The sequence below is a fragment of the Homo sapiens genome, chromosome 22, assembly GCF_000001405.40.
Source record: "Homo sapiens chromosome 22, GRCh38.p14 Primary Assembly".
Classification (NCBI taxonomy): domain Eukaryota; kingdom Metazoa; phylum Chordata; class Mammalia; order Primates; family Hominidae; genus Homo; species Homo sapiens.
Genome location: NC_000022.11, coordinates 22,324,455 through 22,352,042, shown reverse-complemented (window position 1 = coordinate 22,352,042; position 27,588 = coordinate 22,324,455). Strand labels below are relative to the sequence as shown.

Here is a 27,588-nt window from a genome sequence, read left to right as displayed (position 1 = left end):
AGTGTGACATATATCTCTGTTTTAAGAGGTTAGCCATTATCTCCCTAAGTAAAACGTCACTTTCTTCACAGTCGTGTCATATTTTTTGGTAAACGATTTGTCCTAAATGTTATACAATTTGTTTGTATCTTGATATTGCCACCTTTATTTTTTTACTGGATGCTTTCAGGTTATTTGAAATATCAGTATTTATTTTACCTGCGAAGTGTTTTTGCAAGTATTGAATGCCAGAGGAGACAAAGGCAGAGACCATCACTTCTCAATGTTGCCACGTCTACTCTTGTGCTAACTGTGCAAATGGCCCTTGGGTTTCTAGACTCACGAGGTGCTTTAGTGAATAATCTAGAATCAGGATCACTCACTTTTCTCAGGCACGCTCTCCTCCAGGCATTTGGAGACAGATCCCTCTCATATAGATGAGGCAGGGAAGGTACTACCTGGCTTAAACCCCTTCAGTAACTCATCATTCTTATTATAAAATCCAAATCCTGTGGCCTCTGAAGCATGCCCTTCACACTGTGGCCCCTGCACACACCCACAGCCCAACTCACAGCCCCACCCTTGCTTTTAGGGCTCCAGGCTCACTCGCTTCTCTGTCCTGGGAAACCCTGAGCTCCTGTGTTTTCCATGTTCTCCACACCAGCTTCTCCTCTGCCTGTTGGGAGAAGATGGGCTTCTACTCAAAGTCAGAGTGTAAGCTTACATTTTGTCCACATTGTACACCGGTTAAAAGCAGAACAGTTACAAACAAGGATATTTTAAACACTGGATAGCATGGAAACTTTTGAACCATACAAATATACAGATACTTTTCTAATGAATTGTTTGCACCCATCAGCCAAATTTGACCATCATCAATGTGGTTCATCTTGTTTAATTTTTCAACCCATTTTACCCATCAGCTTACTCCCTCACTGGGTGATTTTTACAACAGATCAACGAAGCAGTAAAATACAATTGGTACATAAATTAACAAATATATACATTTGAAGTGTTCCGTAATTTTTGTGGATTAAAGCAACACATTCCAAGGACTCTCACATTAATTGATCTGTTCTGTAATCATCCATGTCTAAAGTTAATTTATTGTAGTAATTGGGAAACTGAAGGAAGCACAATGAATGTTAACAATTTGCAGATGCAGGACTCACAGCATTGCATATTGGATTAGAATATAGTCCAGTTGGGCATCTACATTCCTAATTATTTATTGGCTTTACCCAGTTCTCCTAGTGGAGAAATATCTCTTCTGTGGACACAGAGCTCACAAACCCATCCTTCTTCCTTCAAGAATTTCCTCATCAAAGTCTGCTATGGGACTTGGGGTTGATGAGTTTAATGTTTGAATTGCATTGATCATATGGATGATTTAAAGCTCCGTAATGAATATTGTGAAGGAAGGATATCTAATGTAAAGTTTCTTAGTTATATAAATATTGCCAGACATTTTCCCAACTCACCCATATTAGCAGTTTATTTGCTCTCGAGGGTTTTCTGTCCCCAGAATTTGCTTTATGATCTATTCGCTTCCTGTGGTTTCTTTTATCAGGACTGGGAAAGCCCATCGCATCCTCTCCACTTTCTCCACATGAACCCATGGGATCCAGTATATATGGATCCATGACAATCAGACCATAAATGAGTGAACAGAGGCTGCAATTGGCAGCTGCAGAGACCAGCTGGGCTTTCAGGTCTCTGGGCCATGGGGAGGTATGTGTGATATATATATTTGCATTTTTATATCCATATCCTTCTCCTGCTAACCAAATCCAAAGGCAAAAGTCATTACTTAGTATCTTCCATTGAATGAACTTGGAATCTCAAACACAAAATATTCAGAATTTTTAAAAAAATTATTATCTTGACCTCAGGTTTGTACCTCTTCCTGGGATTCCAATGTAGGTGAACTCACATATTTAATAAACATGTATTGAGTCTGTCCTTAGTGCCAGGAAGTGTTTTCAGCAATGACAAGACAGAAAACAGCCAATAAACAATCTCATAGAGGTTGGATCTCAGCAGGGGAAACACAGTGAATAGAGTCACTAACTGTAAAGAAACATCTTAATGTGGATGATCCCATCCTGACAAGTTAGTCATCCTGGGGATTTGAAGCCCATTGCTGACAGCTGAGAGACGTGCACTTCTATAACCCTGACGAATGGACTGACTTGTGCAGAAGTTGATGATGTTCTTTTTGACCATGTGTGTTATAAATAATCCTTCATCGACAGGATGGGGTCAATCTCCTTGGCCTCACAAATGGCTAGGATCTCACTGTAAGGGAGAAATAAAACAGCACATTCCCATCCTCAGGAAGAATTCCTAAGGACAATCAGACAACTGAGTGTGAAGAGGGAATTAGTCATCACATAACCTGTCTCTCTTGCTCTCTTTGTGATGGAGAAAGAGCAGCGGAGATACAACAGCCCTGCAACCCTGCCCTGGGAAGGAGACAAGGAAGAAGAGAGGTAAACAGAAATGTAAATAAGGATGCCTGGGCAGGAGCTGAACATCCCGTCCCTCACCCAGACACAGAATCCTGCCTGTCCACTGCTCTCCAGCTTTTCAATTGACCTTTACCCCCACACATCACTGAGGTGGTCACAAGGACCCTGGCACATAAAGACACCTCAGGAACCTCTTGCCGATGCTGGGCTTCAGCCCTCACTGTCCCACACCTCCAAATCAGGACTGCACAGACTGCAAATCAGTGTGCCCCCAAATCAGCTACTTCAGCACTGACACCTCCCGTCTCATGGTTTCTGACAGAGCTCTGGGAGGTTTGATCGTGAGCTTTAACAGCAGTAACAGCAGCCCCTTGAGTGTGTAGGGCATCATCCCATGTGCTCTACAGTGCTCTGTCCCGACCCTTAGTGCTTTTGCTCAAGAGAAAGTAAGCAGGTCTCTGTCCAGGTGTGAAAAGTGATGGTTCAAATAAATCTCACTGAATAAGAGGGAAGGGCAGCAATGAGTCCTGAGTCCTATGAGCTTTCCAGAGAGAAGAGGAGAGTGACATGCTTGATCGCAGCTGCAGGCTGTTGTCAGGTTTCCATCACAAGGACAAGGTCAGGGCCTCAACCTAGTGACCTCTTTCCTCTAGTCCTTCTCACCATGGTGTGGGTCATGCACATTCCTCCCAGCTCAGCTGCTACATCAGATGCTAGATACCTCATCTCTCATGTGCACAATGCCACTGCTTTCTAACTGGACCTTTTGCCTTCGCACTATCCCCTCATTTTTTGTCTTCCTTGAAGAAGCTGGACTTTCCTCCTAAATCTCAAACAAAAGGCTGTGTCTTCCTTGCTTACGACCCACTAAAGGCGTTCTATCATTCTCCCCCTTCTGGCCAGTGTCACCTCTTTGATACACCACAATATGCCTTATTCCCATTGACTTCTTGACTGTCTCTCTTTAGTTTGGTGTCAGCCCTATGAAGACAGGAACCTTGTCTGTCTTGGTAACTCTGTATCCTGAGCCCTCCCCATAGCCTGGCACATAGTAGTTGTTCAGTAGACAATAGGGATGATTAGACCTCTGCATTAGTGCATGTGCCTGAGAGAGAGCCACCTGGAATCTGTCCCTGCCTCCCCTGACCCATCTCGGGTCTGTCCCCAGAGCAGCCTGTTCCTGGAATCAAAGGCTTTCTGATTCTTTTGAAGCAGTCTGACAATGTGCCATTGCTAAGGGCTCCCTCTGTGGGCTGGCTCTGAAAGAACAAAGCTGCATTCTCTAGATCACTGTCCCTGACTTGAGTCCTGGGCACTGGTTAGTGGCAGCACCAGGAAACATACACACAAACGGTAAAGAGCCCAGTTGTCCTGACAGTGGGTGGTGCTGCAGGTAGCTCATACTCATTGGAAACCTGGTGTGCCTTTGTCTCAGTTCCCCAGACTGCAGCACTGTGGGGACCTCGATGGAGCTGCCTAAAGCCAACAGCAGAGATCAGCCTTGTCCTAAGCCTGTAGCCCAGAGATGCTCAGCAATGCCTCCTTGCCAGACCGGTAGCCTGAGATTCAGTCCTGGATCCCTGCAGGTGGATATTCGCCGCAGGATATGGATATAAATATATGGATCCGTACATATGTATCAGAGGTTTGGCGGCACTTCCTGGTCATTGTTGGTACCAGGACACAAGCCCAAGACCCTTATTGTTGCTGCTTCCAGTGCAGGAGATGGTGACTGGTTTAGCCACAGACAGACTGGTTAAACTGTTATATTAACTATTATCTATATAAACTATTATATTGAACTCCACTTAAACTCTTGTGTCTGAAGAGTGAACTCTATTTAAATACAGGGATATTGTTTGTGGTATCCTTGTAGTGATTCGTAAGATGCAGTACACACATTTATTGGCACTTTTTTTTCTAGATATCGCTGGCCTTTATATGACAATGTGCTGTAAATGAATAGTTAGGATCATCAGCCTAGAGTTGATAACTGAGCTTGGAAAGGTGAGGAGAAACTAACAAGAGTATATTATGTGAAAAACGCCTAGCACTGAGGACATAAGATATTATTGAGTAGTGACACAGTACCCCAGGAAGGACACTGAAAGGAAGAGTCTAATGTGGGGGGAAAGCAGGAGAGGCCACTCAGGGCTCTTAATTGTAGGCTTTGGGTCAGATCAGGCTGACTCTGATTCCAGCTCCCAGGACACAGAGGAAGAGGGGGACTGGGATAACACCGCTGTGCCCAGGACCCCATGAGTGGAGAATCTCAGCAGCAGCCCCCAGATGCCTGGGGAGCAATTGTGTTGGGATGAGAGTAGATGGGGCCTCACAGGGAATGTATGGCCAGAGGGAGAGCTCATTGTGCTGAGCCCCTGGGTTTGGTTGTCACTTCAGGAGGGGCAGCTGAAGAAGAGGCACCTGTGTGCTGGTGGTCAGTTGTGCTACGGGTTTCATTTCTTTTTTAAAATTTAAAAAATTGTTATGGGTACATAAGAGTTGCTTAAATTTTCACTTTTTGAACTTTCTCCATTCTCATTATTAACTGTGGGAAGAGGAGACTATGATGAACCTTTTTTTTTTAATGCTGCTTTTAAAAAATAAAAATGGGATCTCAGGCTTGTCTTGAACTCTTGACCTCAAGTGATTCTCTTGCTTTGGCCTCTCAACATGCTGGGATTACAGGCATGAGCCACCACGCTTGGCCTAAAATGTTTTGATAGAAGATGTCATAATTACTTTTTCTTCCAATATTCTTTGTTATCTTAGCCTTGTATAATTTCACATATTTCTTTGCAGCTATCTTTGTGACTTTTTTTTTTTTTGTAGAGAAGAATAAAGATAAATCATGTAAGATAGGCTTGTTTCAGAGAGGAATGAAGCTTGTCCCTCTAACACTCTTACCCTGCAGACATTCTTGCCCTGTGCCATCCATGCCCCCTTCTCATCACAGAACCTCCACTTCAGGGCCCTCAGGAGACCATGCAGAGTCCTGCGGAGTCTCTGGAGGGAAGATGCACTGTGGGCAGAGAGGTTGGTGCTTTTCTACTGTTGTGGTGCTGAGGTTTTCCTCCAGCAAACAGGAAGGCTCGGTTTTGGTACACTGGATTAAATTGTGGAGAAAGAACCTGCATTTACTGAGTATGAAGAGTGTTAAAGTTATGTAAACTTTATGTTTTGTATCATATTTTATAAATTAACTCAGTTTTGAGGGGTTTTAAAAATTTTTAATTTTTTTTAGAATTTTCTAAAATTTGGTGAGAGGGAGATTTTTTCTGTGTTTCCATTATGTTTCTTCAAAGCTTCATATGGTCCATTGCTATGTTTATCATTATACATAGGATCATTGTTATGTTGTGTCACTAATATCAAACTTTGCTCCTGTAATTAAATTCTGGCCTGCCCGAATCTGCGTGTGTGTGTGCGTAACTTTTTATTTTGCCACTCCTATAAATAACTCATAACTGTGCAATTGATGATAGATCTTAGTATTGTGCTTTATGAACACATTGTTATAATAACATGTTGGGTTAAAAATACAAATTTTGCAGCTTAGAAGAATATATGTGACCACTTTCTCTTGGGCCCTGGAGAACCAGCGTCAGGAGCCCGTGTTAGCCAGAAGCAGCAGCAGCCTCTGTGTGAAGAAGATGGAGATGTTAGGAGCATGAGGTGAGGCTGAGCCAGGGTGTGTGTGTCTGACGTCCCCATCTCTGCATGGGGTCCCCACTTGATTCTCACACTCTGTGCTTGAAGACAAGACTGCCCTCACCATCACAGGGGCCTAGGCTGAAGATGAGGCTCAGTATTATTGTGCTCTGTGGTAGAGCAAGCAACCATCTCCACAGTGACAGATGCAGATACTCTGATATATTTAAAAATATTTTCAGTATAGGTCTAGTTTTGTACTTTTTAAAGTAGGAGAGTTTATATGAAAATAACAGTATTATAAGCTGAACTTGTCTCTCTCTCTTTTTTTTTTCAGGTTCTCCTCTGCTCCTGCAGAAGAAAAAAAAAAAAAGCGTCAAGACTTCTTACCTACATTGGTACATTGGCACCCAAACAAGTTTATTTATTAAGAGCTTAATGGGGGAAGAGTTTATAATGTGTATATCTACAAGAATATATTTACCCAATGTAATCAACCAATGTAATTACCCAATGTAATATCAACCTAAAGAAACAAAGGGAAATATCAACCAAAATATCAACCAAAGAAACATAGGGAAACTGTTTAGAACTCACAGACCTAAACCTGGGGAAGTAAACCAGGGATAAGTCTGAGAGCCATGTCCTTAATGAGGAGGGGTCACCCTATACCTGGAAATTCAGGAGCTCCTCAAGAGTACAATCTCAAGAGAAAGAGAAACTCAACTTCCCTGAAGTTTCAGAGTTCAGGGAGTAACCAGCAAAGACTGGGCCAAGAGCAGGGACATGTATGGGCCAGGAATGGGGTTGCACATGCTAGACTTCTGCTCTAGTTGTCATCCCACCCAGCAACCCGAAAGGCTATTTGTGCTTAGGGGACAAAATGATTCTGTTAGCATTAAGAGGCCAGTAGAAAGGGAGGTATTTTCATTGAGTCTATAAACATAGACCAAGGATTGGGTACCAGAGGAGTTCAGGCAACAAGCCATGGTGGACACAGCCTCTGGACCTCACAGTTGGGCTGGGCTTCCCCAGGCTTGACTATTTTTCCTTCTGCCCTCAGGGAAAAGAAGAAGCTGTTCATGCAAATCTACTCCCTCCCTTCTGGCTAAATGAGACCCTACCTGATCACTGATTCAGGAACCCAAAAGGGGATGTGAGGACAGAGGAGGTTGAGGAAGGAGCTGCTCGAGTGTGGGCCCAGGAGGGTCCTCGAAGGAGCGGCTGTTGGGAACAGGCACAGGACCCTGCCCAAGAGGCTTTGCTGGACCCTGAGAGCACTAGGCTGCTGAGTTTCATCAGCGAGCACAGGGAGCAGCTCAGCCTCTGCCAGCCTGTGGCCAGTGGGGCTCACCCGGCTGTGAGCAGCCCCAAGGCAGGGCCTGGGACAGTTACCCATTGCTCCTGCTGGTCACAGCCCCATGTTGGTTGTCTACAAGGGTCCTCAGGCTTAATGCCTGGGAACTGGAGTCTGTAGTGGAGGTAGTCTTGAAAAGGGTTATTAACCTGTGAAATTTGACCTCAATCCAGGTATTTGTCATCAGAAAGCATTGCAGAGTGATTCCACCAGAGCTCTCTCCCTGCATGTGAAGGAATTCATTCTGTGAAGGCAGTGGGGGCCTCTTTCAGAATCTCAGATATAGAGCAGGCTCACATTCTACTATCTTTGGTGTGTGTCCATTCTCTCTTTCTAGGGCAGCCAAGCACATGTACCATGAGAGCTCTGTGCACATGGAGGTGACTGGAGATGGCTGAAGTCCACGTCGATTATGTGACACTGTGAGTCAGGGTGAAGGCCTTGTGTCTCCAGGGAAATTGTCAGTTCCCATCATTGAATAGGCAGCTCACAAATGTTGAATATGGACAAAGGTCGTGGGAGCTGGTGACGGTGATTTCCTGATAAACGCACCTGTGAGCAGTTCCACAACCTGGAAACTTCAATCCCATCAGGGGACAGGTGAGTGGCAAAAACCACAAATGTTGGTGTGCAAACTTCAATGTTTCAAAAGCTCTTGAGAAAATATTTACACACAGGGAACATATGCTGTGAATTAGAACTCCAAAATGTCTGGGAAGGTGAAAACTTTAAATACAGAGTTAAGAGACAGCCCTCTGAAATGTGAGTCAGGCCAGTGGGAAGGAAGTGTGGACAGAGCAGATCAGCCGGGAGGTTTTTGTCTCACTTCCCCTCTGCCTGTGTCACTGTGGGTTACACGAAGTTGCTCCCACTGCCATGGTCTGCCCCACAGTGGTAGTCACTCTCATCCTCTTCCTGGATGTTCTTGATGGTCAGGTACCGATTCAGGCCTGAGCCCAAGACTGAGAAGCGATCAGGGATGCCATCCCCCTTGGATCCCACAATCCCACCAGTGCCCACTCGCATCACAAACCGGGGGCCCTTCCCTGGTCTCTGCTGGTACCAGTCCACTTTATAATTACTGTAGCCGCTGCTCAGGGTGCAGGTGAGTGTGACCGAGGCTCCCAGGGAGGCTGATGCAGAAGGTGGCTGAGTCAGCACAGGCTGGGAGAGGGACCCTGGAAACACAGACACCCATGAGGGCTCCTGTTGGTGGGTGGCTGATGAGCTGTTGGAGGAGGAAGAGCAGGGATGGGGAGATGGAGGCTGGGAGGTGGGGGTCCCTTTGGGGGCCCAGCCCACTGCCCACCCTGACCTGTGAGGAGACTGAGGAGGGTGAGGAGCAGAGGAGCCCAGGCCATGGTGGAGCTGCTGCAATGCTGGGTTCTTCAGTCTCTCAGCTGAGCCTGAGGCCCTAAAGCCTCTTATTCCCTCAGTGAAGAAGTGGGCAGGGACATCACATTCCATGCAAATCGGCTCCCTCCCAGGGCTGGTGATTAACAAGGGCAGGGCTCAGAGCAAGAGCTCAGGTCCCTTAGGATTCACAGAGTTTGCCTCCCCCTAGTGGCCAGGTGCTGCGTCACACTCAGGGATCAGACAAGGCCTTCTGGGCCCCTGCTTCACCTGGAGCCCATGTGGGTGTCCTGGAAATTTCTCAGGCTCCATTTCTAATGTCTCAGGAATCTCCACAGTGCTTCTTTCCCTCTGGGGTCCCACAGTGGGATGCAGTGACTAGATCAGTTAATCCTGGAGCCCGCCCAAGGCACCTGTTCCAACTTTCATTATAGGATGGGCGAGCCCTTCAACTGTTACTCCACACAAACTGAAGATGTGTCCACACTTGTAGATGACCACCTTCTCACTCTGTCCTCATCTCATTTTATGTTGTCCATTTTCTAATCTCCTCTTATAAGGATGCCGGTCCTTATGATCTCATTTCATCTTAATTACCCTCTGTAATGCTCTGTCTCCAAATACAGTAATATTGGGGGTTAAGGCTTCAATGTGAATTATGGAAAATTTAGTACATAATGACCAGTAATTACAGTACTTTTTTTAATTGATGAGAATGAGTTAGAATAGGATAAATATATAAGTGTGAAAAGGAAAATTTTATGAATATAACATCATATATATTTTGACATTTGAACAAGTGTATTTTTAATTGTCATAGAATACACACAACATAAAATTTGCCATTTAAATCACTTTTAACTGTAAAATTCAGTGGTGTTAAGTATATTCACAATGTGATAGAATTGCCTGGCATGGTGGCTTGCACCTGTAGTCCCAGCTACTCAGGAGTCTGAGGCAGGAGGCTTGCCTAGACCCAAGAGTTCAAGGATGCAGTGAGCTATCATTGTACCACTGCACTCCAGCCTGGGCAACAGAGCAAGTTACCACCTCTGAAAAAAAAGTGATACAGTCATCACCATTATGAATTTCCATAACTTTCTCATCATCCCAAGTGAAAAGTTTGTACCCTTTAAACGTTTATTTCCCCTCCCCACTCCCCTAACCCCTGGTAACCAGTGGAGAAGAGGGGGATTGGGAAACTGGGTGAGGGAGAACTCAGGGCTCTGAGACACAGTCCAGGAAGAAGCAGAGCAGAGACAGCACCCATGCTGGCTCTTGGGAGATGCTGCTTGGGCAGGTGAAAGCTTTCTGTGGCTGTGTTTCTATCCCTGCATGACCACGTTGATGCAGGCTGCCCGCTGTGGGATGTAGGATCAAGTCTCGTGGGTCCCATGGCAGTGTGTCCTGTGACTCCACCTTTCTCCCCAACAATGTGTCAGAGACAAACACTGACAGCCTTTTGTTGGGGCACTTGACACATAATTCACTACCTCTTCCTATGTGCATTCCCTCCAACAGTCATGTTACGTATCCTCCAGAGACTTCAGAAATGTCCTGCTTTCAGTCCAATTCTTTCATGATGGTCAAGGGGAATTGCATCAGTAGAACATGGATTCTGCTTTCCAATATGCTAAAGAGAGTTTGAATCTATGGTAAAAACAAATGAGATTGTACTATAATTTTGATATCTAATACTATTCATATTGATTGTGTGCCATTCTTTTCTGGGATCAGAAATAACTTTGGATCATGCGATCTCTATTTGGTGCCCTTTGAACATTTTCTTCATGTGTGGTAGCACTGTCTCATGATGCTGCAGGGCTTGGACTTTTGAATGAAGATGTTTGATCATTTGATACACACATGCACACACACACACACATACACACACACGAGAGAGAGACAGAAAGAGAGAGAGAGATCTGTGGACAGTTGCGCTAGCATAGGCTGGCCTAGGATACAAGTAAGGAGAGAAGGCAGGTAGAATAAGATGACCCTCAGTGTCCTTATGTTTGCCCCTGAAGGACTTTCTTGTCCAGTGATTGAATCCATTTCTAGCACCAAGACACCAGCCAGAGTGTGCTCTACCAGAGCATCCCAGCCCATGTCACTCATAGGGCAGTAAGTGAGATCCTTTGGAGGATACTTGAAGCACAGTCCAATGTTCATGGAAATTATGCAGTTGTTTTCTGGTAAGATTGCTGGAAAGTAAAGCCCCTTGAAAATATCTTTGTAAGCCATGCCTTGACTAACACCATTTTTATAAAATCTTATCTCACTGTGGGAAGTCTCTTTTAGGCTCTTCTCTGCTTCAGTCACAAAGTCTTTTTCCTCAAAACACAAATAATTCTTAAACTTTATCAAGGCCTTATCTTTGTAAGTATCAGGCAATGACTTGACTGTCTTTGTTTCTTCAGGAAGATTCATATAAAATCCCAGGATGTCTCCTTGTCTATAGCTAGAAGAGTAGTGTTTGCCAGTGGACTGGTGGAACTTCATTCCCTTTAATTCTCCCAAGAATAGTTAAACTTATCATAAACTAAGGAAGCTTGACAGTTATCTAAAGACTGGGACCAACCCAGTCTGGCAGCAGTGTCTGGTGGCATCTCATCCATGGTGATATCAAGGTAACCCATGAGAATCCCGTACCATAGAGTAGACCTTCTGTTCAACCACAGTCAGCCAGCAGGTCATTGGAGACTTTTAACTGGGGAGCTCAATTATGTCAGGCTAACAAAACCTGTTCATACAAGCAGCCTCTGTAGAGGTCTCCAGGAATAAGGAATTTTGCCCAGCAGTCAAGTTCAAGCTTCTGAGGACCAAGGGCGTGGGGATCAGGCTCAGCTAGAATATACTGGTAGTTATCTTTGTTCAGTGGGTGCTCTAAGGTGTATGAGAGGGAAGGCACTGAGCAGAAAACCCTGGACCTTCTTGGTGGTCCCTGTGATCTCCCCATTCAGCTGTTTGCACTGAGCTTCTTTTCCTTTTTTCTGCTGCTTCCTGTTGCTGTTCCCTCATTCAGATTCTCACTGGTAGACAAGGTATTGCTTTGTTTTTGTTGCATAAACAGGACCAATGTTACCAAGGTCCTGGTCTAAAAGTTCCAATCTAGGGTCATCTCCTTTTGGTTCTTTACTCACTAGATCCAGTGGTTCTTTTACCAAGAATATATCACTTTCTTTACTCATTGTTTTCACAATTGTATTTGGTCAAGTCATTTTCCCAGGTGTCTGAATGATTGTTGTGCACTTCCAGTATTTACAATAAATGGTATAATAACCTTATCTCTGGAAAAGGTTGTCTTTGGATATTCATCCTCTTTTTGTGACTGCCATGTCAAGTTGGCCAAAGCACTAAAGCACATTTCCTTCACGTTTGCTTGTATCTGGAGGAAATAGGTATTCTCACTATGACTGCATATATTGCAATGAAAATATAGTTAGTCATGAAAGGTAGGCAGGATGAAGTATCTATGCCAGATATTTCAACTGTGAACCACTTTGGAAAGCAACAGATGCCCCTTTCCAGCTGAAGCAGCTGCTACCACTGCCACCAGCTTCATCTCCCCCTCTTCTGCAGCCCTTGCATTTGTGGCCACTCCTGGACTGGGTCCGGCACCTGTGTGCTATCATTATGCCCCCACCCCGCCCCAGATTTCTTCACATTATTCTGAGTCCCCTGTAATGAGGCACCTCCTGCTCTCTTGGATTGTTAGGATGCTGCAGGGCTGGCAAAAAATGAAAGACGTCCTGGATACTTGTGCACACTCTCCTACTACTGTATCTTTCTACTGTTCTTGGAAGTAGAGCAATGGTGCCAAATATAAATCTTCCTCTTTTTGACTGTGGTAAAATATTCAAACATAAAATTTGTTACCTTCACCATTTCATGTGTACACTTCAGTGTCACTAAGTAAATCAACTTGTACAATCACACTGCTACCATTCATCTTCAGAAATTTTTCATCTTCCCAAACTAAAACTTCGCAACCATTAAACAAGAACTGCCCGGCTCGGTGTGGTGGCTCACTTCCTTGATTTCAGCACTTTGAGAGGCCAAGGTCGGTGGATCACTGGAGCCCAGGAGTTCAAGATTAGCCTGAGCAAAATGGTAAAACCCCATCTCTACTAAAAAATACCAAAAGTTAGCTGAACATGGTGGTGCATGCCTGTAATCCCAGCTACTTGGGAGGCTGAGGCATGAGAATCGCTTGAACCCAGGAGGCAGAGGTTGCAGTGAGCCAAGATTGTGCCACTGCACTCCAGACTGGGTGACAGAGGGAGACTCAGTCTCAAAAACAAAACAAAGCAAAACTAAACTAAACAAAAAACAAATAACTGTCCATTCTCCCCCTACTCTCCACCCCAAGGACCTGGGAAACTTCATTATACTTCTTGTCACGGTAGCTTTTACTACTCTAGGTACCTCATATAAGGGTAATGAAACAATTTTTGTTCTTTTGAAGCCAGCTTATTTCTGCTGGCATGATGTCTTTCAGGTTTATCTGTGCCATAGCATGGGCCAGAACACTCTCTTTAAGGCTGAATACTATTCCCTTGTGTGTGTATACTATATCCCATTTATCCATTAGATGGACACTTGGGCTGCCTCTACCTTTTAGCTATTGTGAACAATGCTGCTATGAACAAGGGTGTACAAATTTCTCTTTGAGACCCTGCTCTGAATTCTTTTAGGCACATACCCAGAAGTGAAAATTCTGTTAAAATGGTAATTCTATGTTTAATTTTTTGAGGAACTGCCATAAGGCTTCCACAGTGGATGCATCATTTTATAGTTTCTCCACAATTTCTACTCATCTTTGCCAGAACTTGTTATTTTCTATTATTTTGGTAACGCCATCCTACTGGGTGTGAAGTTGTGTATTATTGTGGTTTGATTTGGATTTCTCTAATGATTAGTGATGCTAAACATCTTTTCATGTGCTTATTGGCCATTTATTGATCTTCTTCGGAGAAATATCTATTCAAGTCTTGGGCCCATGTTTTATTCAGATTGTTTCTATTTTTTTATTCCTGTTGAGTTGTAGGAGTTCTTTCTATATCCTGGACACCTTACCAGATACAATGTTTGCAAAATATTTCCTGACTCCATGATTTGCATTTTCCCTCTGTTGATAGAGTCCTTTGTTGCACATAAATTTTACAATTTGATGAAATCCAATTTATCTATATTCTTTTTCTTTTTTTTTTCTTGTGCTTTTGGCGTCAAATACAAGAAATCATTTCCAAACCCAATGTTGTTAAACTTCTTCCTAGTGTTTTCTATTAAGATTTTTACAGTTATGGCTTTTCCATTTGGGTCTTTTATCCATTTCCACATTGCATGTGGATATCCAGTTTTCTCAAAAACATTTTTTATGGAGTCTGTCCTTTCCCCACTCAATGGTCTTGCTACCCTTATTTAAAATCATTTGATCATATAACTAAGAGATTCTTTCTGGGTGCTCAATTCTATTCTATTTGTCTGTCTATCTATTTGTCTGTCTATCTGTACCACTCTGCTTTGATTGGTGTAGCTCTGTAGTATGTTTTGAAATCAGGAAGTGTGAAATCTCCAACACTGTTCTTCTTTTAGAAGATCATTTTGGCTATTTGGAGTCCTGTGATAGTCTATGTAAATTTTAGAATTAATTTTTTCTACTTTTGCAAAAAAAATTATTGGAATTTTAATAGAGATTGAAATGAATCTGTAGATTTCTTTTGGTTTGTATTGATTTCTTAACAATATCAAGTTTTTCAATTCATGAACAAATGTTTTCTTTCCATTTATTTGTGTATTCTTTAATTTCTTTTAGCAATGTTTCTTTCCATTTATTTGTGTATTCTTTAATTTCTTTTAGCAATGTTTTATAGTTTTCAGTATAGAAGAGTCCCCTTCTTGATTCTTAAGTATTTTATTCTTTCTGATGCTATTGTAAATTGAATTGTTTTCTTAATTTCATTTTGGGTTGTGTCCTGTCTTCTTGTTTCCTGTTTGGTTGATTAAGTATAGAAATATAAGAACCCTGTTTGTTTGCTTGTTCGTTTGTTTGTTTGTTTTTGAGACAGGGTCTCACTTCATTTCCCACGCTGGTATTGAACTCTCTTGATCCTAACCAATCCTTTCACCTCAGCTTCCCCAAGAGCTGGGATTACAGGTATGAGCCATCATGGCTGTCCATTAGATGGTTTTATGTGTTGATTTTGTATTCTGAAATATTACCAAATGTATTTAATAGTTCTAACAGTTTTTGTTTTGGTGGGACTTATTTTATTTATTTATTTATTTATTTATTTATTTGTTTATTTTACTTTAAGTTCTGGGATACATGTGTGCAGAACCCGCAGGTTTGTTACAGAGGTATATATGTGACATGGTGGTTTACTACACCTATCAACCTGTCATCTAGGTTTTAATCCCGGTATGCATGAGGTATTCATCCTAATGCTCTCCCTCCCCTTGACCCCCAGCCCCCCCGGACAGGCCCTGGTATACGATGTTTCCCTCCCTGTGTCCACGTGTTCTCATTCTTCAACTCCCACTTATGAGTATGAACATGCAGTGTTTGATTTTCTGTTTCAGTGTTACTTTGCTGAGAATGATGGCTTCCAGCTTCATCTATGTCCCTGCAAAGAACATGAACTCATTCTTTTTTATGGCTGCATAGTATTCCACAGTGTATATATGCCACATTTTCTATATTCAGTCTGTCATTGATGGCCATTTGGATTGGTTCCAAGTCGTTGCTACTGCATAGAGTGCTGCAATAAACATATGTGTCCATGTGTCTTTATGGTAGAATGATTTATAATCCTTTGGGTATATACCCAGGAATGGGATTACTGGTCTCAAATGGTATTTCTGGTTCTAGATCCTTGAGGAATTGCCACACTGTCTTCCACAATGGTTGAACTAATTTACATTCCCACTGACAGTGTAAAAGCATTCCAATTTCTCCGCAGCCTCACCAACATCTGTTGTTTCCCGACTGTTTAATAATTGCCATTCTAACTGGTGTGAGATGGTACCTCACTGTGGTTTTGATTTGCATTTCTCTAATGACCAGTGATGATGCGCTGTTTTTCATATGTTTGTTGGCCACATACATGTCTTCTTTTGAGAAGTGTTTGTTCATATCCTTAGTCCATTTTTTGATGGGGTTGTTTGTTTATTTCTTGTAAATTTGTTTAAGTTCCTTGTAGATTCTAAATATTAGACCTTTGTCAAATGGGTAGCTTGCAAAAATTTTCTCCCATTCTGTAGGTTGCCTGTTTACTCTGATGATTGTTTCTTTTACTCTGCCGAAGTTCTTTAGTTTGATTAGATCCCATTTTCAATTTAGCTTTTGTTGCCATCGCTTTTGGTATTTTCATCATAAAGTATTTGCCCACACCTGTGTCCTGAATGGAATTGCCTAGGTTTTCTTCCAGGGTTTTTATGGTTTTGGGTTTTACATTTAAGTCTTTAATCCGTTTTGAGTTAATTTTTGTATACGGTGTAAGGAAGCGGTCCAGTTTCTGTTTTCTGTCTATGGCTACCAGTTTTCCCAGCACCACTTATCAAATAGGGAATCCTTTCCCCATTGCTTGTTTTTGTCAAGTTTGTCAAAGATCAGATGGTTGTAGATGTGTGGTGTTATTTCTCAGGTCTCTGCTCTGTACCATTGATCTATTTATCTGCTTTGGTACCAGTACCATGCTGTTTTGGTTACTGTTGCCTGGTAGTGTAATTTGAAGTCAGGTGGTGTGATGCCTCCAGCTTTGTTCTTTTTGTTTAGAATTGTCTTGGTTATCCAGGTTCTTTCTTGGTTCCATATGAAATTTAAAGTAGCTTTTTTCTATTCTGCAGAAAAAGTCAGTGGTGTCTTCATGGGAATAGCATTGAATCTATAGATTACTTTGGGCAATATGGCCATTTTCACGATATTGATTCTTCCTATCCATGAGAATGGAATGTTTTTTCATTCCTTTGTGTCCTTTCTTATTTCCTTCAGCAGTAGTGTATAGTTCTCCTTGAAGAGGTCCTTCAAGTCCCTGTAAGTTGTACTCCTAGGCATTTTATTTTCTTTGTAGCAATTGTGAATGAGGGTTCACTCATGATTTGGCTCTCTGCTTGTCTATTTCTGGTGTGTAGGAATGCTTGCGATTTTTGCACATTGATTTTGTATCCTGGGACTTTGCTGGAGTTGCTTATCAGCTTAAGGAGTTTTTGGGCTGAGATGATTGGGTTTTCTAACTATACAGTCATATCGTCTGCAAACAGAGACAATTTGACTTCCTCTCTTCCTATTCAAATACGCTTTATTTCTCTTGCCTGATTGCCCTGGCTAGAACTTCCAATGCTATGTTGAACAGAAGTGTTCAGAGAGGGCATCCTTGTCTTGTGGTGGTTTTCAAAGTGAATGCTTCCAGCTTTTGCCCATTCAGTATGATGTTGGCTATGGGTTTTTCATAAATTCCTCTTATTATTTTGAGATATGTTCCATCAACACTTAGTTTATTGAGAGGTTTTAGCATGAAGGGATGTTGAATTTTATCAAAGGGCTTTTCTGCATCTATTGAGATAATCATGTGGTTTTTGTCTTTAGTTCTGTTTATGCGATGGATTACATTTATTGATTTGTGTATGTTGAACCAGACTTGCATCCCAGCGATGAAGCCGACTTGATTGTGGTGGGTAAGTTTTTTGATGTGCTGCTGGATTCAGTTTGCCAGTATTTTATTGAGGATTTTCGCATCAATGTTCATCAAAGATATTGGCCCGGAATTTTCTGTTTTTGTTGTGTCTCTGCCGGATTTTGATATCAGGATGATGCTAGCTTCACAAAATGAGTTAGAGAGGAGTCTCTCTTTTTCTATTCTTTGGAATGGTTTCAGAAGGAATGGTATCAGCTCCTCTTTGTACCTCTGGTATAATTCAGCTGTGAATCTGTCTGGTCCTGGGCTTTTTTTGGTTGGTAGGCTATTAATTACTGCCACAATACCAGAACTTGTTATTGGTCTATTCAGGGATTCAGCTTCTTCCTGATTTAGTCTTGGGAGGGTGTATGTGTCCAGGAATCTATCCTTTCTTCTAGATTTTCTAGTTTATTTGCATAGAGGTGTTTGTAGTATTCTCTGATGGTAGTTCGCATTTCTGGGAGATCAGTAGTGATATCCCCTTTATCTTTTTTATTGTATCTATTTGATTCTTCTTTCTTATTTATTAGTCTAGCTAGTGGTCTATCTAGATTGTTAATCTTTTCAAAAAACCAGCTCCTGGATTCATTGATTTTTTTGAAGGGTTATTCACGTCTCTATCTCTTTCAGCTCTGCTCCGATCTTAGTTATTTCTTGTCTTCTGCTAGCTTTTGAATTTATTTGCTCTTGCTTCTATACTTCCTTTAATTGTGATGTTAGGGTGTCAATTTTAGATCTTTCCCACTTTCTGCTGTGGCATTTAGTGCTATAAATTTCCCTCTACACACTTTTCTAGTTGTGTCCCAGAGATTCTGGTACATTGTCTCTTTGTTCTCATTGGCTTCAAATAACTTCTTTATTTCTGCCTTAATTTCATTATTTACCCAGTAGTCATTCAGGAGCAGGTTGTTCAATTTCCGTGTAGTTGTGTGGTTTTGAGTGAGTTTCTTCATCCTGAGTTCTAATTTGATTGCTCGGTAGTCTGAAAGACTGTTTGTTATGATTTCCATTCTTTCGCATTTGCTAAGGATGTTTTACTTCCAATTATGTGGTCAATTTTAGAATATATGTTATGTGGCACTGAGAAGAATGTATATTCTATTGATTTGGGGTAAAGTTTTCTGTAGATATCTATAGGTCCACTTGGTCCAGAGCTGAGTTCATGTTCTCTCTTATTTCCTTGAGCAATGGTTTGTAGTTCTCCTTGAAGAGGTCCTTCACATCCCTTGTAAGTTGTATTCCTAGGTATTTTATTTTCTTCGTAGCAATTGGGAATGGGAGTTCACTCATGATTTGGCTTTCTGCTTGTCTATTGCTGATGCATAGAAATACTTGTGAATTTTTCACATTGATTTTGTATCCTGAGACTTTACTGAAGTTGCTCATCAGCTTAAGGAGTTTTGGGGCTGAGACGATGGGGTTTTCTAAGGTTGGGATATCCTTGTTCATTTTCTGTCTCATTGATTTAATATTGACAGTGGAGTGTCAAAGTCTCCCAGTATTATCATCTGGGAGTTTAAGTCTCTTTGTAGGTCTCTAAGAACTTGTTTTATGAAACTGGGTGCTCCTGTATTGGGTGCATATATATTTAGCATAGTTAGTTCTTCTTGTTGCATTGATCCCTTTACCATTATGTAATGCCTTTCTTTGTCTTTTTTGATCCTTGTTTGTTTAAAGTCTGTTTTATCAGAGACTAGGATTGCGACCCCAGCTTTTTTTTTTCTTTCCATTTGCTTGGTAAATATTCCTCCATTCCTTTATTTTGAGCCTATGTGTGTCTTTTGATGTGAGATGGGTCTCCTGAATATACCACACCAATGGGTCTTGACTCTTTACCCAATTTGCCAGTCTGTGTCTTTTAATTGGGGCATTTGGCCCATTTACATTTAAAATTAATATTATTATGTGGGAATTTTATCCTGTCATCATGATGCTAACTGGTTATTTTGCACATTACTTGATGCAGTTTCTTCATAGCATCATTGGTCTTTATATTTTGGTGTGTTTTTGCAGTGGCTGGTAGCAGTTTTTCCTTTCCATATTTAGTGCTTCCTTCAGGAGCTCTTGTAAGGTAGGCCTGGTGGTGATAAAATACCTCAGCATTTGCTTATCTGTAAAGAATTTTATTTCTCCTTCACTTATGTAGCTTAGTTTGGCTGGATATAAAATTCTGGACTGAAAATTCTTTTCTTTAAGAAGTTGAATATTGGCTCCCACTCTCTTCTGGCTTGTAGGGTTTCCGCAGAGAGATCTGCTGTTAGTCTGATGGGCTTCCCTTTGTAGGTAACCTGACCTTTCTCTCTGGATCCACTTAACATTGTTTCCTTCATTTCAACCTTGGTGAATCTGACGGTTATGTGTCTTTGGCTTGCTCTTCTCGAGGAGTATCTTAGTGATCTTCCTTGTATTTCCTGAATTTGAATGTTGGCCTGTCTTGCCAGGTTGGGGAATTTCTCCTGGATAATATCCTGAAGTGTGTTTTCCAACGTGGTTCCATTCTCCCCGTCACTTTCAGGTACACCAATCAATTGTAAGTTTGGTCGTTTCACATAGTCCCATATTTCTTGGAGGCTTTGTTCATTTCTTTTCCTGCTTTTTTGCCTTATCTTGTCTTCACACCCATTTCAGTAAGTTGATCTTCAGTCTCTGATATACTTTCTTCCACTGGTTTGGTTCAGCTATTGATACTTGTGTATGCTTCATGAAGTTCTTCTGCTGTGTTTTTCAGCTCCATCAGGTTATTTATGTTTCTCTCTAAACTGATTATTCCATTTAGCTGTTCCTGTAACCTTTTATCAAGGTTCTTAGCTTCCCTTCATTGGGTTAGAACATGGTCCCTTAGCTGAGAAGAGTTTGCTATTTTGGTGGAAGTTTTATGGATTTTCTACATATAAGATTAGGTCATCTGAAAACAGAGATTATTTTACTTTTTCATTTCTAATTTCTTTTCTGTTTATTTCTTTTTCTTGGCTAATTGCTCTGGCTAGGTCTTCCAATACTATTTGGAATAGAAGTGGTGAAAGTGCGCATCCTTGCTTTGTTCCTGAAGTTACAGGAAATATCTTCAGTCTTTCAGATTGCACGTGATGTTAGCTGTGGGAGTTTCATACATAGGGTTTACTATGTTGAGGTAATTTCCTTCTATTCATAATTCACTGAGTGTTTTTGTCACGAAAGGGTGTGGGGTTTTGTGAAATAATTTTTCTGTAGCCAGGGTCTTACCGATTTGCATCTAGAAAAGCCAATCTGTTCTATACCCACCCATACCTTCTCCACTATATGCCTGGTGTTAGAGAGGAAGGAATACCTTGTGTCCTTCAGGGGCCAGGGGCCACTCCACCAGACCCACAGCAGTAGTCACCTGTGTGACAGGGTGGGGGAGCAAAAGAGGCCCTCATGGGTAAAACTGTGGACTCTGCTTGAAGCCGTAGTAGCTCTTACCTCTCTATAGATGTTGACTGAGATGGGGCTACCCCTGCCACCCTGGACTCAGACATAGGCAAGGGTCCAGGGACAACAGGGGACTGGACCAGAATCAGAAGCAATAAGGTGAGGGGACTAGGCTCAGGCTCCTGTGGCTAATATCGGGTGACAGTTATAGGGAGTCACCCCATTTGTCCCAGAGTTGGTGGCTGTGTTGATGAGTCTTTCAAGGAAGCCAGTTTCTTCCTCACTCTGACCACCTCCAGCTGATAACCCCTCTTAGATTGATCAGGTTTGGATGGCCCCAGAGCTTCCATTAATGGGATATAGTTTAAAGATAAGGGTGTGGAATGATTGCTTCATGCAAATCAGCCCTCTTCCCTTGTCTCCCAGCCCCTTCATAGGATCTCAATGCTGACAGTCACCTGCCCACATTTTCCAGGTGGGGTGGAGAAGGCCAAGCTGGCTGCACCCAGTTTCCTGTGAGGACACAGCTGCTGAGCTCAGTGAGCAGTGAGCAGATGACACAGGGTCATAGCAGGGGCTGGCTTCCTGGCTGTGGTCACCTGCAGACCCTTCAGGGATAAGTCCACAGCATCCAGTGCTGCCCCAGGCCCAGACCGACTGAGTCTTTCAATTTCTCCCTGCCTTTCTTCATCTCTTCCACTCCAAAAGAGACAACTGTGAGGGCCCTTGTGAATATGCATCTGTATTTATTTCTGTGCACAGAACTCTTGAACCATGACATACCTGCCTGGTCTACTGCTATTTTTAGTAAAGCCCTGGGATCTTCACCTTGCTGAAGTAGATTCCCTGACAGACATCAAAGCAGGGAGTCAAGCTTGATGAAGGGGAAGCCACTAGGAATGCAGGGCTGTGCCTAGAGCTGCCTGCTTCTTCCTCACTGAAGAGTGTGGCCCATTTCCAGGTTCCCAATTTCTCTCCTGAAAGCCCTGCACTCTAAGGCTTGGTCTCTCCTCTGCTCTCAGCTCACCAGCCTCCAGCATCAAATGAACCCGAAGTTGGTCTCTCACTAGATATAAGCAGAGCCAGGCTGAGCTCTTCTCTCTCTCACATGTTACTTATGCACCCCAGGCTGAAGCCCCTCTGTGTGGGGACAGAGTAGCCCCATGCATCTGGGTGTGACAGGACATGAGATCACTTGTCTAGCGCTCAGGCTGAAGCAACCCCTGGGGAGGCCCTGAATCTGCAGACTTGAAGGATAATAGAAAGAATAATTAGAGAAGTGAGGAGGCATCATTCATTGGGAATTATATCACATGCATTTCATGCTCACTGATGTGCTCACTTGAGTGTATCTTTGCTAGCAAAGCTCTGTCTTTGTAGTTAAGCCCCTAGACCCAGCATCAGTAAGGGGATGACTGCCCCAGCTATGCCTCTTCCAGGTTGTGACACTGTGTGGAGTTGCCAGATAAATTAAAGGGCACCCAGTTATGTTTATATTTAAATACACAATATTGTCTGGGGGATACACATACTGACTCTTTTTTTTTTTTTTTTGTATTTTTTTTTGAGTCAGAGTGTCACTCTGTTACTCCACCTGGAGTTAGTGGCCCGGTCTCAGCTCACTGCAACCTCTGCCTCTTGGGTTCAAGTGATTCTCATGCCTCAACCTCCTGAGTCACTGGGATTACAGGTATATGTCATGAGGCCCAGCTAATTTTTGTATTTTTAGGAGATACGGGGTTTCACCACGTGGGTCAGACTTGTCTCGAACTCCTGGCCTGAAGCAATCCATCAACCTTGGCTTCCAAAAGTGCCAGGGTTAAGGTGTGAGCCACGGCGCCCAGCCTACCTATTGATTCTTCATCATTGTTTTACCGAATTCAAATTTAACTGACCTCCAGTGTTTACATTTGATAAATTAGAGAACGCCATCCCCAGGTCACAAACAGTTCCTCTCCAATCAGGACCACTGCCTCAAAAGCAATAATCGGGCTACTGTCAGGATTACATGAAGTCACAGTCTCAGGAATTAAAAAGTTGTTTGTCAATAGTAAGGTTGTAGTGGTACTAAAGAAAACATAATGTGGTTGCCCACACAGACACAGACAGACCCCCTTGTTTCTACACACAGATCCTGGCTGGGAGGGAACATAAATGTAAGCATTCCTGGTCACTTCAGCTGAGAGAAACCAACAGGCCAGGAGACAGGATGTAGGAGGGGGAAGTGGTTTCCATAGTTCTCATGTGGCATCTTGTTTGTGTATTGCCTATTTAAAACCAAGAGAATAAAACAAAATTGTTGAATAATGGCGAGAAGTGAGTATAATCGCATGAGATGCAAGTAGGGCTGAGCATCACTGGAGAGAGAAGATCAAATGCCTACAGGACTCGACGCTGTTAGGGGCCCCAGAAAATGTATTGATTTTTTAAAATTCAGATTAAAAGGAATATAGGCTACCCTGGATTCTATATGTGTATATACAAATGCAGGAATGGGCATGAAAGGCAAAATGGCTAGGGGCCCTCAAAGGTACTGATGAGCCCTTTATGGGATGAGATGTCATTCAGCAACAACAGGGAGAATCTCAAAAAGTGTGCGGAGTGAAAGAAGCCTCAACAAATGGCAAGAGAATGTTTGTGAACACTGATACCTTCCAGAAAATGGAAACCAAACACTAATGACAGAGGAGGATCTGTGGCTTCCCGGGAGGGCATTGGGGTAGAAAGGGAGATGACAAAGGGTCATGAGGAGCTGCTGGGGTTGGTCACAGCTTGCATAGCTCGGTGGTGGTGATGCTTTCAAGGATCCAGAAACATGCCAAAATGGGTGTCATGGTATATTATAAATATAGGTGTTTTCTCGTATGGACATTATTCCTCCTTGGAAAGGGTTTTATTAAAAAGAGTAGGCTGGGGAGGAAAGAAGCCAAGCGATTCACCCTGAGGAGCAGGGACAGAAAGCCAACAGTCGGAACTTCCAGAAATCAGGAAATGAGGTTGATGGAGACACAGGTTCTGCATCAGGTTTGTGATGACAGTTGGACCTGACACCTCAGCCCAGGACTTCACTGCAGAGACCCTGTGTCCCAAGGTACAAAGAGATGGATGTTCTGGTCCCTGGAGGCCCTGTTCCTAGGAAGGAGCTGCTGTGCATGATTCTCAGAACAGAAAAAAAGAGAAGCCTCTACTCTGAGGCAGGGCCCTGGATGCCCCTGGACCATGGGGGAAGCTGCAGCAGCAGAAGCCACAGGCCACGCCTGAGCAGTAGCAGCTGAGCGCTCACCCTCCTGGTAGAGGAGGAAGGGGGTTCTTCTCTCACCTCCCCCTGGGCCTGGAGCACTGTGTGAGCATTCAGGCTGTTATCCCATGCTTTGCAGTAATAATCAGCCTCATCCTCAGACTGGAGTCCAGTGATGGCCAGGGAGGCTGAGGTGCCAGACTTGGAGCCAGAGAATTGGTCAGGGACCCCTGAGGGCCGATTGCTGTTACCATAGATGAGGAGTTTGGGGGCTGTTCCTGGAAGCTGCTGGTACCAATGTACAACATAACCCGCCCCAATGTTGGAGCTGCTCCCAGTGCAGGAGATGGTGACCCTCTGCCCTGGGGCCCCAGACACTGAGGGCGGCTGCGTCAGCACAGACTGGGCCCAGGACCCTGGAAGTGGGAGAGACACAGGCATCATGATTCTGCTTCTAGAGACAAGAGGAGAAAGCAAGAATCCATAGGCTTCCCAGGGACCCTCCCCTCGATCTGCATCCAGTCACCTGTGCAGTGAGCGAGGAGAGTGAGGAGGAGAGAAGACCAGGCCATGCTGGAGATTGTCCTGAGTGCTGCCTCCTGTGCCCACAGCTGAAGCAGAGCTTCCCCAAATCTCTCCCTGCCCCTCTTCATACTCTGAGAGTGGGAATCCCTACCTTGTGCAGCTGACCCTGATGAAAACACAGGCATAGGAAGGGCACAGGAGTCCTCAATTCCACCCCCTTAATCCCTGGGGCAGAGACCAGAGAAGTCCCTGCTGCACTCCAGGGTCTGAGAAGAGATCTCCACTTGGTGGGATCACAGGGGAAGAAGGAAGAAGGGACTCCAGGAGAACTAAGGTCATATGGGCATGACCTGAAGATTCCTGGGGTTCGGGTGAAGATGTAGGGAAGTCCACCAAGTAGATACAGATGTATAACATTAGATAAATAACAGGATCTAGGAGAACTGGACTCCCGGGAAGGAGAGATTGTGATTGAGAAAGACACCCTGGCAGGGCAAGTCCTCAGAAATCCAAGAAGTCCAGGAGCTTGTTCACTGGTTGGGCCTGATCTGCTGGGGCTACTGGAGAGGAAGGCAGGGAGGAGCCACGTGTCAGCAGGAGAGGTGAGGAGAGGGGGAGAACATGAGCAGAAGAAGAGGAGATGCCACTTTAGGACAGCCTGGATGGGAGGTGTGCGATGGGAATGTCCACATGTACAGGAATATTTCTAGATATGTCATATAAATGGGATCAAGTTAATTTTTAGATTGCTGTGAGAGAAGAAGACAAATTCAAACTATCTTGCTATTATTCTAAAAGGCGGTGTATCTTCAGCAAAGGAAATTTGCTTCACAGGTGCTATCCTGGTGGACTGTAAGCACTGGGTTTTACAAAGGCTTTTTTACATTTCTTTTACCATCATACTGCTTTTTTTTTCAGAAATATATATACCAATTAAAATTGTTGACATGTTAATACTACATTTTTTTGAAAGTTATGCACTTACCTTTTTGAAACATATACTCTGAACCTTTCAGACGTTATTCATTGAGAAGACCAAGAACATTCACTACCTAATGTATTCATGCTGTTGTTTCTGAGGAGTAAACTCTTGAAGAACTGGAATTAATTTTCTTAGATCTTGGAGTAATTCTTTATTTTTTTTTTTTGAGACGGAGTCTCGCTCTGTTGCCCAGGCTGGAGTGCAGAGACATGATCTCGGCTCCCTGCAAGCTCCACTTCCCGGGTTCACGCTGTTCTCCTGCCTCAGCCTCCTCAGTAGCTGGGACTACAAGTGCCCACCACCATGCCTGGCTAATTTTTTGTATTTTTAGTAGAGATGGGTTTTCACCATGTTAGCCAGGATGGTCTCGATCTCCTGATCTCGTGACCTGTCTACCTTGGACTCCCAAAGTGCTAGGATTACAGGCATGAGCCACCACGCCTGGCCAGATCTTGGAGTAATTCTTAAGAGATAATGAAACTTTTCTTTGCTAACCCTGTATTTATCTAAGGAACTCTTCCATCTCTCTTTTTTGTGACAATGGGGGGTAGATACATGATTAGCATCATTAGCTGCTGAGGGAAAATGAGCCATGACCGGGAATGAGAACAGAAGAGTATAGAATTTTGGAAATCAAATAGCTCTAGACCTGAGCAAATAACATGAAATCATTTAGTAGAGGCGGCACTTTCTAGAAGGACACTGAGAAGGAAAATCTAAGGTTGAGTGAACTAGGAGAGTTCAGTTATCCCTTTAATAATGGGCTTTGTGTCCTGAAGGGGCAGGGTCAGAGCTGAATCAAAGCCAGGTTGCTGCTGATCCCAGACCCTGTGACCAGGACCCAGGGAAGACTCTCAGCAGTGATACGGCTGACCTGGCGGAGCAGCCACCTTGAGATGAGAGCAGAAGGAGGCTCCCTACACAGTGCATGGACAGAGGGGGAGGTGCAGGTGCTGTCCCGAGTCTGGTCCTCACTTGAAAGAGGGGCAGATGGAGGACAGGTGCCGAGGTGATGGTAATCAGTGGCTTCTAGTGTGGCTTCTTGAACTTCTTCCCCTCCAACTTTTTTTTTTCTCCTCTGGGCTTAGGAGGCCAACATGAGGGTGTTTATCTGCTTCCTGTCTCTCTGGAGGCTACCTGATTCTCCTATCAATGCCTTCTTGATGAGCATGGATGTGTCTTGGCCCAGAATTGATGTGTGAAAAGAATATCAGAAAGGCCAGAGAGCCCACGATGGAGATTTGTGAGTCAGAGACTCTCTTGCCTGTGTCCCAGCCCAGCTTTCAGTTTTCACAAGACAATACCCATCACGAACTGAAGATGAGGGTGGAGGGTAGAGTGATTCACACAGGGGGGCTACTTAGGCAGAGCTCCTGGTCTTTTTCCTTTTCCTGTCATGTCTGGACCTCAGATCTCCCAGCCATGAGTTCAGCATGTAAGTGTCCCCAGCTGCAATGCTAGGGACAGGCAGTGTGTGGCCCAAACCCATAAGGTAGGCTCCCTGGTCCACATGATGCTGTCATGGGAGATGGCATGAATGATTTAGTCTGGTTGTCCTGAAGGCTGAGATTCCTCACCAGTGGGTCAGGGAGGGCAGATCTTTCTCATTCTGGAACTTTTTTTTTGTGAGGATGTCATATATAAAACTGGAGAGTCATTTTGTTTCCAAATAGGAATTCAGCCAGGGGACAAGAGAGGTTATGGAGAACTAACATCTTATATATCTCAGAGATAAGTTTTCTTCTCCACGTTGCCATGTGGAGAGGAAAAAGTCCTGTGACACCTTTGAACAAGGCTGGGGAGCTGTTGTCTAAGTTTTCATTGTGACAATGAGCTCAAGCCTTCCTGCAGCCCCCTTGCACTTGAAGGACCCCCCAGCAGTGTGATCACTGTGCCCCACTCAGGTCCTAAGGCCAGCCTTGAGCCTCTCCCCTCACCCAGGCTTCAGTACCTCCTCCCCA

General features: G+C 43.5%; 1 pseudogene, 2 gene segments (V, D, J or C) and 1 further gene; all 4 read right to left on the bottom strand.

Annotated features, from left to right (window-relative positions):
• Positions 1-27,588, bottom strand: part of IGL (immunoglobulin lambda locus) — an 896,838-nt gene that overhangs the window by 570,871 nt on the left and 298,379 nt on the right.
• On the bottom strand, positions 8,309-8,819 carry IGLV9-49 (immunoglobulin lambda variable 9-49). The segment is given in 2 exon segments: positions 8,309-8,636; positions 8,774-8,819. Coding segments are annotated over 2 exon segments (374 nt in total).
• ASH2LP3 (ASH2L pseudogene 3) lies at positions 10,876-12,317 on the bottom strand (annotated as a pseudogene).
• On the bottom strand, positions 24,227-24,692 carry IGLV1-50 (immunoglobulin lambda variable 1-50 (non-functional)). The segment is given in 2 exon segments: positions 24,227-24,536; positions 24,647-24,692. Coding segments are annotated over 2 exon segments (356 nt in total).